Raw genomic sequence first — 17668 nt, 5'->3', positions numbered from 1 at the left:
GGCAGGAGAATGGCGTGAACCCGGGAGGCGGAGCTTGCAGTGAGCCGAGATCCCGCCACTGCACTCCAGCCTGGGCGACAGAGCGAGACTCCGTCTCAAAAAAAAAAAAAAAAAACTTTCGTATCTACTTTCAATATATATCCAGAATGCTACCACTTCTGACCTCTAACTGTTAACATCCTCATCCAAGCATCCATCATATTTTGTCTGAATTTTGCCATAGCCTCTTATCTGGTTGTCACACCTCTGTCATGTCCTCTTACATCAGGTTCTTTCAACCTTGGTTGTATTGATAGTTTGGGCTAAATAACTCTTTGTTGTGAAGAGCTATTCTGTGCATTGTAGGATGGTTAGCAGTATCAGCTGAGCCTCTACCAACTGCTAGCAGCACACAGTGTACTCACCCCCCAAGTTGTAACAAACAAAAATGTCTCCAGATATTACCAAATGCACCTGAGGGACAAAGTTGTCCCCCAATTGGGAATCATTGCCCTACAGTGTATTCTCAGTTTAGCCACAGAATGACCCTTTACAACATTAATCAGATTCTACAATGCCTCTGCTTAAAATGGACCCATAGATTTCCATCTCACAAAACAAGAAAGGAAGGAAGGAAGGAAGGAAGAAAGAAAGAAGAGAGAGAGAGAGAAAGAGAGAGAGAGAAGGAGGGAGGGAGGGAGAGAGGGAGGGAATAAGGAAGGAAGGAAGGAAGGAAGGAAGGAAGGAAGGAAGGAAGGAAGGAAGCAAGGAAGGAAGGAAGGAAGGAAGGAAGGAAGCAAGGAAGGAAGGAAGGAAGGAAGGAAGGAAGGAAGCTGCAGCCTGCTGGCGGTCCATGATCTGTCATCCACCCATTCCTCCTTGACCGTGTCATCTACTTCTCACCCCTTTACTCACTCTGCTCCTGTCACACTTGCCTCTTTGTTGTTCCTCAAAAACACCAGGAAAACTTTCACCTCAATGTCTAGGCACTTTGTTCCCTCTGCCTGTAGTTTTTGCCCCATGATATCTGCTGAGTTTAGTCCTTCACTTAAAAGCCATCTTCCTAATGAAGCCTTCCATGATTGCCCATTTTAAAAACTCAGCCCCTATCCCATGCCCCATCTGTCCCCCACACTTCCTATCCATCTGTTCTAGCTTTATTTTTAATGGCATGTATCTCCAATCTGATATGCTACAAATGTTACTAATTGCTTTAATGTCTGTCTTCACCTAAAAGAATGTAAGCCCCAGAAGAGAGGAGATTTTTGCCTTGTTCATTCACTGGTATATCTGCTTCTCATAGAAAAATGTCCACGGTAGGCACTCAGTAAATGCTTATAGATCAAATTAGGGCATGTAGAAAGGGTAGAATATGTCTGGAAAACCATCTTAGATATGAAGGGTCAAGGCAGCCTCAGCTGATATCTAGGATACATCCATATGCATCACCAGCAAATACTAAGCTGGTTTCTATAGAATTTATTTAAAATACGATTCATAATGTATAATGGAAAGTAGAGATTTGTCAAAATGCGTATGTGCTTAGGGGTTTTTATGTAAGGGGTATTTACAAAGCATATTTATAAATCCATTAACATATAGGTCTAAATATCTGTAGATATATAAAATAAGTAGAACTTTAAGAGAAATTTTACAAAGCACCATGGGCTGTGGTAACTCCCCTAGATATATAAAAAGAAGTATGCTGGGATAAGTCAAGTCATTCAATTATATACACCATAAGGTAGCTTAACAAGTAGCGGCAATGGTGAGCAAAGCTCTTTTCTACAGATGAAAGGCTGCGTGGTTCAATTGTGAGTGAAACAGAGGAACAGAAATGCTTCCTGCTGCAAGCTGACAGTTACATGGAACCCCCTGAAGTTATACATTGAGTTCCTCTGCTAATTACTGGTCTGAAGGGGACAAATAAAGATCCACATTTTATTTCTCTTGCTGTACTTGCAATATAAGCACTTGTGAATTTTACATTAGGGTCAAGCTGGGAAGTTCCCAGCCAGTTATACCTGGAGTAGATAACAGTGCCACCTTCCATGCAAATGAGGTCAAGTATTCCTTTCTGCCTTGGGTGACCACCAGGGAGATTTAAGTATAACAGATTCTAACAGGGAAGTTGAAATACAGGGAGAAAAGAGAAGGAAAACAGAACAAAACAAAACATTGATCCGGTTTAAAATAAAATTTTGCCTATGAATTCTAAAAGTACATATTTCAAAAAGATTTCAGAATTTTGTAATATCACTCATAAAAATTGTATGTCACACCCATTGATAACAATATCAACTATTCTGTCAACTTTCTGAACTAACTACTCATTGCAAGACCAATAAAGCTACACAGCAGGCAGGTACTTTAATGAAAGCGGCCTGGTTCTCCAGGGAGGAGACCCTGTGGTTCAAACACAAAAACTTTTGATCAAGTAAGCACTTTATTCTTGCCAATGAGAAATACCTTTAACGTGGAATCTGATCAAAAATGCTCTTGGGAAAGATAAGGGAAGAGGAGGGAAGAGAGGGGAGCAAAGGACTGTTGTGATGTAATATTTCAAAACAGGTTTTCTGGGAAGGAAAAATAACTTCCACATTTCTAATGCATGTAGGTACTCTTTTAACTTCCTGGAAAATCGTGTTGACTCCCTGGCAAAAGCAGCAGCCTCATTGAAATTCAGATAACCAATTAATTCATTTATGCATTTGACCGACAATTACCAAGTGCATTCTCTTTGTAAAAGGAAGAAATATAAGAACACTCACAGAGAATACAATCTCCATTATTACCAAGTTTCTCTTCTCTCTTATTTGTATTGTATTTACTATAATAGTGTACTAGATATATGACTGAACAAAAATAATCTAAGGGATAACATACATCGAGGTCTGACATGTGAAAATTTGGAAGGAGAAACAAATCAATGAATGTCTTCTCCATGTAAAATATTGAGTTGTTCGGGGAGTCATCAAGACCTAGTTTGAAATCCCAACCCCTTCACTTACTGGCTGTCCAGATGAATGGAAAACTCCCTGGGTCTCAACTCCCTTATGTGGAAAATGTTCTAGTTGTACCTACCCTCATGGTAGTTTTACTGATTAAATATGATGTTGGCAAGCACCCCTCCATAGTACATATTCAACAAATTATAGCTATTTGGCTTGTCTTTTGGAATCCTAAACTAACATAATGCCTTTCTTAATTCCTATGAGCACTTATTGGCAAGATTCCAGAAACACTAAATCTTATTTTACCTCTTCAAAAGAAATTTTTTTTTGTGCTTATCTTCTCTAAAAATATAAATCTCAGAATTTTCATGCTTCTGGATGGCTCAAATAAACACATGAAGAAGAAATTCCACTTTCAAGGAGCCCTTCCAATAAAATAACCAAGAAAATTCTTACCTAGTTTTGGCAAGGAATAGGGCACTTTAAAGTAGTCTTCATAAAATTCTATTAATCTCTTTGTTATATGGAGAGCATAGTCCCCGGATCCTCTTCTGATAGCATCAGGTCTTGCATATAATCGTACCTAATTAAAAATATATATAAAAGTTACTTTAGCCTTTTAGCACTTGAGTTTTATCTTCCCTGCAAATATGAATCTACACAAATCACTTAGAATACTACAAAACTTAAACAGGATTCTCGTTCATACACTATATCAAAGCACAGTGGGGCTGAAAGGACCAAACTTAAACAATTGAAGTAATTGAAGTAACCAAGGAGAGCAAGTCACAATTTCCTCGCTTTACAAGATGACATTGAGAAGATTTATACACCTTGCATCAAAATAAATATTCAACGTTATCACTTACATGTGCTTGCTAGAGATAGGAAGGTACAGTGGATTAGTATAATGGGACCCTGACTATGCTGAAAGTAGGCAGGATATGGTGGCTTGGCAGGAGAAAAAATTCATGGTTTGTTAAAGACAGGTTGTATCAAGCTTCCGAAGTATTACCAGACTGAGAATATATATCTATAATTTATGCTTCCTTTTTTTCTTTGGAATCAACTGTCTTTATTCCCAATATGCAAAGTAGGGATAGAAAACTTTTCATGTACACAAGCAATCACCATTCTGGAAGGCTGTCTGCAACTGCTCCTGGCTTCAAACTCAGCAGAATAATTCATATTTCTAACACAATCCAGATACTTAATATTGATTTTTAAAGCAAGCATTGTATATTATCTAGTCCTTGGCCAAAAAAAAAAAAAAGCCTAAAGCAAGTAACATGAAACTGAACAAAACTAACAATTGTATGGAAAAGGTTAAAATGAGATTAGTTTTCATAAAGCTTTCATAAAGCTATCTAGCATCTTTCTTTCCAAAGGCTAAATCTATTTTTCACAGATGTGGTCCCTAATCCTCATATCAATTCTATGAAAAAGAAATATGTATTTTGTGGAGCAGTAGAGAGCACAGTGGCTTGGGAGTTGGATTTTAGTCCTACTCTGCCACTAACCAAGGTGGGTGATATTGAACAAATTACTTAATTTCTTTGGGTCTCAAACACTCTCATTTATAAAATGAAGGTGTTGGCCACCAGCTGGCTGCTAAAGTGCTTTCAGTTCTAAAACATATTACTTCCAATCCCATTTTACAGATAAGGGAATTTGTGTTCTTTTCAAATATCTAAAAAAAAAAAATGGTTTACTCAGTATATAGAAGTGAACACTTACATTCAATAAAAAAAGAAATTTGTACTCATTGAATATTTACATTCAATTAAAAACAAATAAAGCTGTACATGTTATACATCATCTATTATTATTTATAATAAAAATTGATTATATGATTAACTCTTTATTATCTCTGCCTAAAGAGAGAGAACAGAAATGTGTGTAATTAAAAAGAGTATGAAGTCAAGGAAAACACATTCTGACTGTATGTTCGAAAGACCTGCAATGCAGTAAGTTATTTACTAAATTCTACAACAATTATTGACTGAAATTGTAAAGCTACTTTCCTACCAACAATTAAATAAAATATCAAATTTAGTCTACAGTCACCAACATTTTGGGCTGGCAGTATTAGAAAACCAAAAACTATCAGGAGAGACTACCTGCAACAGCAGAACTTGACACTCTTAAGAAGGTAGTGGTTAGGATCCCCTACCCCTGACAATAACTGTGAACAAACATGCAATATCTGAAGTAAAGTTCATAGGAAGCGGACCTTTAAAAAAGGATGAATGTACAAGTGATTTAATAAAGAAGTGCTCTAAGGAGAAACTTACAGGAGAATGGGGGAAGCAGGAAAATGGAGGATAATAAACTAAGCAAGGGTGCAATTTCAGGTGAAGTCCTGGACTCAGCCTGATCCACAGGAGCTCTGGAGTGTGAATTACGCTGGTGAGTTCACACTGCCTTGAGGCAAGAGAACTAGACTTCCATACTCTTGCACCTTGTCATTGGCTACTGGTTACCAAGGGGAAGACATAAAACCCCAGGCACTTCTGGTTCTTGAGCATCTTGGTGATGTAGGTCTCACTGCCCAGAGATAGTCCTTTGGAGAAGATGTCCTGTGTGAGCTGTTAGGAGCAAAGCAGTGGAAGCTAGAAGACGTGCATACCAAACAGGAAAAGGGATCTAGTCTGTCTGTGCACCAACAACATCCACAAGAGACAGTCTTCATTAATTTGTGCATTCATTCATTCAACAAATATTTATTCGCACCCATCTTGTATCAGGGCCTGGACTAAGCATTTTTAATTTAGCAGTGAAGAAGACATGCATTATTGAGATAAAAAGCAATGAAGATACAATCACCACTCTCAAAGACCTTCTCATTTATTAAGTTACATTGTTACCACAGATAATGATACCTGCCATATGAATGGTAAAATATAAATGTAAAATGGATACTGAGGAAGAATGAATAGCTTTCAAAAGATTCTACATAAAGTATCTAGTAGATTCATGTTAAAACCATAACCGGAACTACTCTAAAATGATACAGCAAATGTCACTGGTTTTACTCTTAGGACGCTTCCCTGTTTTTGGTGGAAACACAGCCATTCCTATCAATCGATCTTACCAGTTAGTCAAGCTGTCTGTACACCCAGACAAAAGAAACACAATTAAATTAATCTGCTTGTCAAGATTTAATGGAAATGATCCAATTTAAGCAAGAAGATAAAACATATACATGTTCAGCACAGCGTCTTCATTTGCTCATTCAAACTTCTATTATTTACCTGCTGTGTGCTAGGCATTGTACTAGGGAATAGAAATAGAACAATAAAATTCCTACCACAAAATGAACAAGACATTCATACTTACTGCTCTTAAGAGGTTCATACTATGTGGAAAAGCAAACAAATAAATTAACAACAAAAATACAATGTGAGAAATATAACAATGTACCCTCCCTTCCCTGCCATTTCAAAGGATGAACTGACTAAGCTCCTATCCAAGGCTAAGCTCTTCACATTTAACCTCCTCTTGCCTTTTCAAAGGCACAGTTCCCCAAATTCCTCCCTTTATCTCCCACATCACCAATCTATGCTTTCTTGATTACAGTTCCTCCAGCTATGGTTTCCAGATAATGCTCCTTGAAAGAGTTTCCTGTATAGCCAAGGTGAACATGTCAGTTAACAGCCAAACCAAAACACATCTGAGAATACTTACAACCTGAGACTATCGGTGCAAGTAGGGCATTCACCTATTTATACCTTTTTTTAGTCTCCCTTGAACTCATTTCAACAAGGCTTTCATTCCAACTACTCTAGTAGAACTGTTCACCTAAAGATCACTAATGGCCTCAAGATACCAAATCCAACAGTCAGTTCTCAGTCTTCAACATGCTTCAGCTGTCAGCAGCATTTGCACAGTTGATCGATCACTTCCTGTCCTTAAAGCATTTTATTCGCTTCTCTTACTTTTCTATCTATCTCACTGCCACTCCTCAGTCTCCTGCCCGATTCCTCCTTCTACTCATCCCAATCATTGATTAATGTTGGAGGGTTCCCAGGTTTCAATACATTGATCTCTTTACTTTTCTGCTACGCTCAGTGCCTGGGTGATAACATCTAGTCTCATGGCCATAAATGTCATGTAGATGCCAAAAGTTTATCCAGTTATTCCAGACTTCCAGACTCATGAATTCAACTGTCCACCTGACATTTCTACTTGGAGATCTAACAAGCATCTCAAACTTAACAGGTCTAAAACCAAACTCCTGATATCACACACACACACACACACACACACACACACACACACACACTTCTCCTTCTAAAATCTTTCCCACCTCAGTTAATGGTAATTCTTTCCTTCTATCCAGCTGTCCATACCCAACCCCTGTATGTTCATCATCCTTGTTTCCCCTCTTTCTCTCACACTCCATGTTCAGTTAGTCAGCATATCCTACTGGCTCTACTTTTAACAATACATCCAGAATCCAACCACTTCTCACAACCCCACTACTACCACCCTGGTCCATGCCTTCTCCATTTCTTGCCTGAATGACTGCTTTATTTTCCTACTGATGCCTCGTCCCTTGCTCCTTCAAGCTGTTATGTATACAGTAATCAAAACCTTCTTGTTAAAATGAGCTTCAAATCACGCACTCTTCTGGTTTTCCTCCTTCAGTGGCTTCTCCCCTCACAGTAGAAGCCAAGGTTTTTACAAGGGCCCCAAATGTCCTATACTAATCTAATCCCTTTTAGCTCTCTGGATTCATATCCTAGTCCTTTGCTCCACACTAACTTCAATCCACTCATAACACTAGCTTCCTTTTCACTCCTCAAACATACCAGAGAGATTCTCGATCAAGGATTTTGAGTTTTCCCCTAGATAGCCCCATGGCTAGTTCCTCCATCTTCTTTAGATACTTGTCCAAATCCCACACTTGCTGAAAATCCTTCCCTCTGACCCCAGGACCATCTATCTCCTTTTCTTGCTTTATTGTTTCCTGAAACACTTACCACCATTTAGCAAAATATAAGTTTTATTTATTCATTTTGCTTCTTGCTACCATTTTTTCAGAATGCACATTGCATGAGGGCAAAGATTTTTATCTATTAGCTCAAGTCACATGAAACAGCCAGTTTTTCAAGACAGGGATGCCCTCTCTCACCACTCCTATTCAACATAGTGTTGGAAGTTCTGGCCAGGGCAATGAGGCAGGAGAAGGAAATAAAGGGTATTCAATTAGGAAAAGAGGAAGTCAAATTGTCCCTGTTTGCAGATGACATAATTGTATATCTAGAAAACCCCACTGTCTCAGCCCGAAATCTCCTTAAGCTGATAAGCAACTTCAGCAAAGTCTCAGGATACAAAATCAATGTACAAAAATCACAAGCATTCTTATACACCAATAACAGACAAACAGAGAGCCAAATCATGAGTGAACTCCCATTCACAATTGCTTCAAACAGAATAAAATACCTAGGAATCCAACTTACAAGGGACATGAAGGATCTCTTCAAGGAGAACTACAAACCACTGCTCAATGAAATAAAAGAGGATACAAACAAATGGAGGAACATTCCATACTCATGGGTAGGAAGAATCACTATCGTGAAAATGGCCATACTGCCCAAGGTAATTTATAGATTCAATGCCATCCCCATCAAGCTACCAATGACTTTCTTCACAGAATTGGAAAAACCTACTTTAAAGTTCATAGGGAACCAAAAAAGAGCCCACATCGCCAAGTCAATCCTAAGCCAAAAGAACAAAGCTGGAGGCATCACGCTACCTGACTTCAAACTATACTACAAGTCTACAGTAACCAAAACAGCATGGTACTGGTACCAAAACAGAGATATAGATCAATGGAACAGAACAGAGCCCTCAGAAATAGTGCCGCATATCTACAACCATCTGATCTTTGACAAACCTGAGAAAAACAAGCAATGGGGAAAGGATTCCCTATTTAATAAATGGTGCTGGGAAAACTGGCTAGCCATATGTAGAAAGCTGAAACTGGATCTCTTCCTTACACCTTATACAAAAATTAATTCAAGATGGATTACAGACTTAAACGTTAGACCTAAAACCATAAAAACCCTAGAAGAAAACCTAGGCATTACCATTCAGGACATAGGCATGGGCAAAGACTTCATGTCTAAAACACCAAAAGCAATGGCAACAAAAGCCAAAATTGACAAATGGGATCTAATTAAACTAAAGAGCTTCTGCACACAAAAGAAACTACCATCAGAGTGAACAGGCAACCTACAAAATGGGAGAAAATTTTCGCAACCTACTCATCTGACAAAGGGCTAATATCTAGAATCTACAATGAACTCAAACAAATTTACAAGAAAAAAAAACAACCCCATCGAAAAGTGGGCAAAGGATAGGAACAGACACTTCTCAAAAGAAGACATTTATGCAGCCAAAAGACACATGAAAAAATGCTCAGCATCACTGGCCATCAGAGAAATGCAAATCAAAACCACAATGAGATGCCATCTCACACCAGTTAGAATGGCAATCATTAAAAAGTCAGGAAACAACAGGTGCTGGAGAGGATGTGGAGAAATAGGAACACTTTTATACTGTTGGTGGGACTGTAAACTAGTTCAACCATTGTGGAAGTCAGTGTGGCGATTCCTCAGGTATCTAGAACTAGAAATACCATTTGACCCAGCCATCCCATTACTGGGAATATACCCAAAGGACTATAAATCATGCTGCTATAAAGACACATGCACATGTATGTTTATTGCGGCACTATTCACAATAGCAAAGACTTGGAACCAACCCAAATGTCCAACAATGATAGATTGGATTAAGAAAATGTGGCACATATATACCATGGAATACTATGCGGCCATAAAAAAGGATGAGTTCATGTCCTTTGTAGGGACATGGATGAAACTGGAAATCATCATTCTCAGTAAACTACCCCAAGGACAGAAAACCAAACACCACATGTTCTCACTCATAGATGGGAACTGAACAATGAGAACACATGGACACAGGAAGGGGAACATCACACTCTGGGGACTGTTGTGGGGTTGGGGGAGGGGGGAAGGATAGCATTAGGAGATATACCTAATGCTAAATGACGAGTTAATGGGTGCAGCACACCAGCATGGCACATGTATACATATATAACTAACCTGCACATTGTGCACATGTACCCTAAAACTTAAAGTATAATAATAATAAAAATAAATAAATAAATAAAAGCCAGTTTTGTGAGTCGAAATATTTTGTTCAGTTTGCCTCTCAAATGCCTACTAGATACAACTTTGATGAATAAATGAGCAAATGAATGAGTTTCATAGGTATGTATAGGTCCTAAGGAAGTATGAAGTATGTAATAAGGACCCATCTCAGAGGAGGGGAAGTTTCAGCTGAATCTTGAAAGATAAGCTGGACACAGGAAGCTACCAAGAGGAGGATGATATCCCAGACTAAGGTAACAATATGTACTATGACAACAGTTCTGACCAAATAATAAGTGACCGTAAAGGGATTACTGAATACTAGGATGTTATTTTAAAATGTGTGGGAATTGGCCAGGGGCAGTGGCTCACGCCTGTAATCCCAGCAATTTGGGAGGCCAAGGCAGGTGGATCTCACCTGAGGTCAGGATTTCGAGACCCGCATGGCCAACATGGCGAAACCCCATCTCTAACAAAAATATAAAAATTAGCTGAGCATGGTGGTGCATGCCTGTAATCCCAGCTACCTGAGAGGCTGAGGCAGAAGAATTGCTTGAACGGTGCAGGCAGAGGTTGCAGTGAGCCAAGATCACGCCATCGCATTCCAGCCTTGGTGACAGAGCAAGACTCCATCTCAAAAAAAAAAAAATAACATTAACAATACATTCTTTTAAAGTGTGGGAATTCATAGGAGGATATTAAGCCAGAACATGATAAAATTAGTTTCACATTTCAGAAAAATCACAACCTATACTAGGTGAACTAAGATATAGAAAGCTGCCTGTTAAAACTGCAGGCAGAAAGACTAATTAGAAAAGTGAGGAGATATATAGTGATAGGTGACACTGAAGAAGTAAAGAGAAGCTACAAAATATATTACACAAGTGTCTGTAAACCGAATTGCAAAATATGAATTTAATACCGTCGGCACAAGCAAGTCACTTAAAGATTTTAAGCCATAGAATGACATGATCAGAATTAGGTTTTAGCAGACTACATTGGCTGCAGTGAAGATGATGGATTAGGAGGAAACAGAAACAAATAAAAGGACATGAGTTAGACTATTGTAGAAGTCCAGATGAAAGATAACCGTGGTTTGGACTGGAGAGATGGCAGTAGGGATGCAGAGAAATAGATGGATTTATTCAATCAGTCCTAACCCTCTGTTGAACATGTCCTTTAGTTACCAAGTAAAGCCAATTGTAGTCACATTTTTACTTAAAAACAATCATTCACCTTATCTGTACTCCCAGTATCTCACTCCAGTGACCTGCTGGAACACATGAGACCCAGTTGAACAAGTGGGAGAAAAGTACAAAATATTTTGCAAACCGAGTAATTCCTGTATGGTTAATCAAGTGAATTTTGTACAATAATTCACTTTACACTGTGAAAAGAAATCACAGTTGTTTTCTTCTTTTAGAGTAACTAGGTCCTACTTAATCATAACATAGAGAGTAAATCTTCATAAACATAGTTATTACTCAAAAGCAATAAAATATAATTTTATTACACCTGCTTATTTGCAGCGTTTTCTGACATTCCATGATAAGAGCCCAGCTCTGAAACTGTAAATTGCTTACTAGGCTTTATCTCTTCCTCTGCAGAGCTTCTTCCAACAACCAATATAAACCAAACTCTATAAACATTTAGTCCGGTGGAAAGGACATTACACTAGGAAATGGTATGCAGGGACTGGAGGGTCAACTTTCTGTAACTACTGTCTAGTTGTGAGAGTCATTAACTTCTCTGGGTCTCAGCTCAAAGTTCCTTCTGGGGGCTATAGTTTATCATTATCTATTTATTATATTACGTCTGAGAGGTTGGTGTGTCATACAAACATGCCAAAATTCTTCTCATCTAGTCTACATTTATTTTGAAGAGAAAATAATGAAAAGGTTTTTTTTGTCCTGACACAGTTTTACTCCTTTACATTTTTTATTTCCCTTGACAACACAAATCAACTGCTCAGCGACCTTTCTCCATCCTTTACTCCTGTGTATTCTTCTTTGCTTTCCTGACTGGCCATGAACTTGTTACTGATTGAACAGAAATCACTGTAGTAACCAACACAAAACAGACGCTGACTGTGGAAAAATATGCTTATGGCACCACCCTGGTGGTAATACATCATAGCAATGAGCTAAGGTGGAGGACTACAAATTTTTGATCCCTTAGGATAAAATGGGAGCTCCTGTTGGTGTTTCTATGGGACCTAGTAGCCTTTACTCTGTAATTTCATGGACTCGCTATAAATGTTTATTTCATCTCTTTATAGATTTTAAGTATTTTTATCATTGAAAGGAAAAACATACTAAAGGCAGATATCTTCAACCCCTTTGGTCATCTCACTTTCCCACAAGTCAAAGATGGCAATAAAGTTTCAGCTATCCTGACACTGTGGGTGGCTGCTTACAGGACATGCTGGGAAGAATCCTGAGACCATATCTGGACTTGGCAGAAAAAAGTGCTGTAATCCGTGAAATGCCAGCTGTGTACACAAGGGTAGGAAACACAGCACTGGTGCCAGATACTCAACACTATTAGGGTAGAATATTCTTTAGGAAAGTGTCAAAATGGAAGAGAACTTCAGATAGATTTGAATTAATTATATCTCATAGCTGTGCAATTTAGAAAAAGAACATCAAAGACTGTTTAAGGATTTCATCAATGGGACATTTATTTATTCAGTTAATAGTTAATAAGAGTCTATTAAGGGTCAGGTCACTATTCACATGCTGAGTGTCCAAAGGTAAGCAAAAGACAAAAGCTCCCTTCTTTCAAGAAGCTTGTAGTCCACTGGGGGAGACACAATAACATGGTCCTATAATTTAGAATAACAAATTTGATCTAATTTACATTGGCTCTTCAGAAAAGTTCTATCTAAAGAGATGGTGACTCAGCGGAACAAGGTCAGAGTCCCATGAGAGTAAAGATGAGCAATTACTCAAATTATTACATACAAAGTTCTATCTTTCATTGTACTAAAATTATTTAAAGAAAGGTAAAAATACATATATAATTGCAATATAATGCAAAAAAAGAAGACACATTCAGTTGTCAGAATTATTATGAAATCTTCTACTAAATAAATTTAGAGACTTTCTTCTAATAACTTAATGTACCTTACAGACTTTTTAAGTTTATCATCATAAACTACCTGGAATTAGCAATAAATTCTGATTTTGTTCATTAAGAATTTGAAGAGATTTTCTAGTCATTGATTCGATTTCAAGGGAATGAAACTAAATCTCTCTGTCTAAAGCCTTTCTTCTAGACTGTATTAATGATTTGTTGTTTAAAAATGAATTGTGGTAGTTGTTATATAATCACGTGAAACAGTGTATAGTTATACCACACAGCCAAGAAAAAGAAAAAAACATTTACAACAGTAGTGCACCTGTTAAAGACTTAAATAACATTTTCTCTAATTTGACATTTGTAATTTGGTACTTTAAGTTAAATAAACCTTCTGACTTGCCAGAGCTATTCTCTGAGAAAATTTTATGCTGCAAGAGTACATCAGAAACTTTGGAAGACACAGTAATTATTTCACAGCTTTAAAATACCACTATAACAATACATTTACTTCTCCTTTTGCCTATAACTGAAAAACTAGTCCCCCTCTTTAATAATTCCAAAACCACAATGCACTGAATTGCAGCCGGTAAAGCTGAATTAATTCACCTATGTGAATATAATTTGATTTGGGGGTTCTTCCTACAAATCAGGAAAACAGAACAAGCCAGGGAAAAAGCAGCAGGGTGATACAAAGAGGAAAGGATGTTGTAAACAAGAAACTAAAAGCTCAGGAGTATTAGTCTTATTTAAAATTCAGAAGATAACATTTTTTTTTCTAAGCAAAAGGGAAATAAATACACATGAAAGTCTAGAAGAAACAGGGAACTAATGCCCAGATTCACATTCAAGAGCCAATGAACATAAAGAAGAAGCTGGAAGGAGGAAGGGGAAGGCACTGGCCCGGGAGTGGCAAATGGCAGAGCCCAAAGAGCCTTGACGTCTCATATGAAGACTGGACATGAGGCTTTGAGGAGTTGAGAGCCACTGCCGAGTTTGAGGCAGAGTGACATGATTGAAAACGACAAAGGGAGATTATTTAGGCAACAGAACTTAAGATGCATTGAGACAAGAAGGCCAGTGAGTAGAAAAGCATAATATTACAGGTGAAGAATTTGTGCTGTGGTTTTTACGGCAAGAACAGCCAGTAACAGGCACCCTCCATCACCATAGTCGAAGAACTCATTCTGAGAAGGAGGAGAATTTACAATTGGTGATGGATGGGGAGTAAAATCTCAGTGCTAAGAAGGAGGCACATGATGATATGAAAACCACAACTACCTCAAAACCTATCAGTCTAACAAAAACACATTGCAGAAAGACATCTCAAAGCCTCTTGGTGAATCTCACGAAGAATCTGCACCACAGATACATATAATGAATATTTTGAGAACGATTACTTAGACTTCTTTACTGAGGTCAAAAGTCAGCCTTACGCTAAATTTCACACCATAGCAAATACTGTTATAAGGCAAATCCAAGTATTATCATTGATAAAGTTGCTCTAATGGCCTGTCCCTGCTTGTACTTTCCCCCTTCCCTCTTTACAGAATTTTACTAAAAATTCATGAGAAAAACACTCACTAAAAATTCTGAAACAGGTCTGCTACATACTATGGGGGTTTTTGGGCCCCATGGCCCTTATTTTGTAGGTTTATAGGCTCTTATACTTAAAGTGTGTTTGGCTTATCTTTCTACAAGACTTTAAGTTTCTTAACCATTGGCTCGGTCTTTTCACTCCTTACTGTGTCTAATACGATGCCTTGCACCCAATAGGGACTGACAATATGTTTCTGACTCCCATAAAATGGCAATAAACTTTGAAGGTACTTGTCCACTCTAGTACTAAAACGCTGCTATAATAGATTGATTACATCTTCCAACTGCATTTTGCTTCAGGCAAGGAAATTAGCACTGTGGCATACTGTATAGTCTCTTCTTGTAAATCACTTCACATTTATTTACTAAGCTGTGGAATTTACAAGTTTAAGTTACTTACAGGGACTTCCAGGAACAGGCAGGACTTTGCTATATTCACACTGATATTGTCACATTTTTCTAAATATGTGTGTGGTAGGCTGAGTGATGGCCCCCAAAGATAGCTACATCTTAATGTTGCCTTCTACAGCAAAAAGAACTTTGCAGGTGTGATTAAATTAAGAGATTACTAGATTACTGGAGATTATCCTGGATTATCAAAGTAGATCCTAAGTGTAATCACAAATGTCATTATAAGGGGGAGGCAGAAAGAGTTCGTTGGACCTCCGAAGAGGAGAAGGCAATACGATGACAGGAGCAGACAGAAATGTGAAAAAAATGTGAAGATGCAAAGATGGAGAAAGGAGCCACAAGCCAGGGAAGGCAATGGATGCAGTATTAGAAGCTGGAGAGGCAGGGAACCAGATCATCCCACAGAGCCTCCACAGGGACCAGCCCTCCACAGTCCTTGGTTTAGCACTGTAAAACTCATTTTGGATTTCTAACCTCCAGAAGAGTAAGACAATAAGTTTGTGTTGTGTGAAGCCACTGAATTTGCAAAAATTTCTTACGGCTGCAATGGGAAGCTAATATATTATACCTTCTTATCTTCTTGCCAGTTAATTCACTGCTTCGGATTAGATTTTCAACTTCCTGTGGGAGCACAGTGTGTGTTCCTTTTTGTGTTTCTCTCTTTGTTGTAGGTATAATTCTTCACAGCTGTGAAACTGCTAACTTTGGTGCACCTGTATCACTCACCTATATTATTACCAAGCTTCCAATACATTAATGCATGTAAGTGATACACAGAAGAAAATGAAATAATTTTAAAAAGTTAAACTCACCTACAGTTATTTTTCTCCAAGTGTCCCACAATGTTTGCATCAGAATCACCAAAGGTTATTGTTTGAAATTCAGACTCCTGGGCCTAACCACACCAGAAGTTCTGAATCATCTCTCCCAGGCAGGGCCCTGCACTTAACACACTTACAGTTGAATCATATATATTCCAAAGTTGAAGAACCACTGGACTAGAGTCACCTGAAAAAGCTTTTGTTCATTTAGCCCCACAACAAGCAAACCTCAAAGCTTGAAAGAAATATTTAGCAGAAGCCTAACACACAGGGAAAATATGTATCATGTTTCCTTAAATCTATTTCAACATCAGAGTCTTCAATGAAGATACATTCAACAGGGCTGTTATTATTTTTAACTCTAACAACTAATCTTTCTCCTGCACAATAAGCAGTAACAGATAAGTCAGATCCAACATTTGGGAATCAGAAAAAGTTGGTTAATCCTGTCACAGCCCAGAGATAAAACAGTAGCATTTAATCCCTCTGTGAAACAGACTACCTCTTTTGTAGAAAATTGAACTGCACTTTTTGGTTGTTCATTTGTTTGTTCTTAAACAAGAGAATAAACTTAGAGAATGTCCTTATTAAGCTATCTATTTTACGCCTGATCAAACTTCTTCAGCAAGACTGACAGCCAGGTACAGCTATTTGTAAATAGAGGGGCTGAATGCTGAGTTGAATTCAGTATCAATTTAGTTTGGCCCATCAGTCCTTTGATTCCTTGATTCCCAGCTGCCTGCTGACCTCACTTTGACGAATGCCATCTTCCTTTCTAAATCAACACCATCCAGTTCAAGCACAGCATTCTGCCTTCACTGATTATCTCTCTTGTATATTTTAATAATGCTGGCATCCCTCTGTCCCCAAGGGTAAGAACCTCAGGACTCATTTGTTTGTTCATTCATTTTACAAATATTTATTGAGAGGCTACTCTGTGCCAGGACTTATCCTAGGTGCTGAGGACATAGAGTGAACCAAACAAGTAGAAATCCCTACTATGGAAAGCTTACATTCTCATAGGAAAGACAGGTAATAGCCAGATAAATACAATTTATAGGATGTTAAATAATAAGTTTTCAAAGGGGATTAAGAAATGTCCAATGCCAAGGAAAGCATCACTCAGAAGGTATTATTCGAGGAAAAATATAAAGTGAGGATGTAAGTAACACGGATATAGGTTTCTGACAGGAATGAATTCCAGGAACAGCCACTTGTCCATGTCCTTAAAATCTTCATTGTATCAGTTCTCATACCTCTCCATTCAACTCTTTCATTAAATAAATTATAAAACAGTATGGCCATTTTCATGATATTGATTATTCCTACCCATGAGCATGGAATGTTCTTCCATTTGTTTGTATCCTCTTTTATTTCATTGAGCAGTGGTTTGTAGTTCTCCTTGAAGAGGTCCTTCACGTCCCTTGTAAGTTGGCTTCCTAGCTATTTTATTCTCTTTGAAGCAATTGTGAATGGGAGTTCACTCATGATTTGGCTCTCTGTTTGTCTGTTATTGGTGTATAACAATGCTTGTGATTTTTGTACATTGATTTTGTATCCTGAGACTTTGCTGAAGTTGCTTATCAGCTTAAGGAGATTTTGGGCTGAGACAATGGGGTTTTCTAGATATACAATCATGTCGTCT

At 38.0% G+C, this 17668-nt stretch overlaps 1 protein-coding gene across 4 annotated transcripts in view; it reads right to left on the bottom strand.

Moving 5' to 3' along the window:
• The window catches only part of TRHDE (thyrotropin releasing hormone degrading enzyme), a 583493-nt gene that overhangs the window by 289248 nt on the left and 276577 nt on the right, over positions 1-17668 (bottom strand). For all 4 annotated transcript variants that reach the window (XM_017019244.2, NM_013381.3, XM_017019243.3 and 1 more), the window contains one exon: positions 3390-3516. In XM_017019244.2, coding sequence (XP_016874733.1) covers positions 3390-3516 — 127 coding nt within the window. The remainder of the gene's footprint in view (positions 1-3389; positions 3517-17668) is intronic.

Source organism: Homo sapiens, chromosome 12 (assembly GCF_000001405.40).
Source record: "Homo sapiens chromosome 12, GRCh38.p14 Primary Assembly".
NCBI lineage: Eukaryota > Metazoa > Chordata > Mammalia > Primates > Hominidae > Homo > Homo sapiens.
The sequence above is the reverse complement of the archived record's forward strand: the minus strand, read 5'-3'. Positions and strand labels throughout refer to the sequence as shown.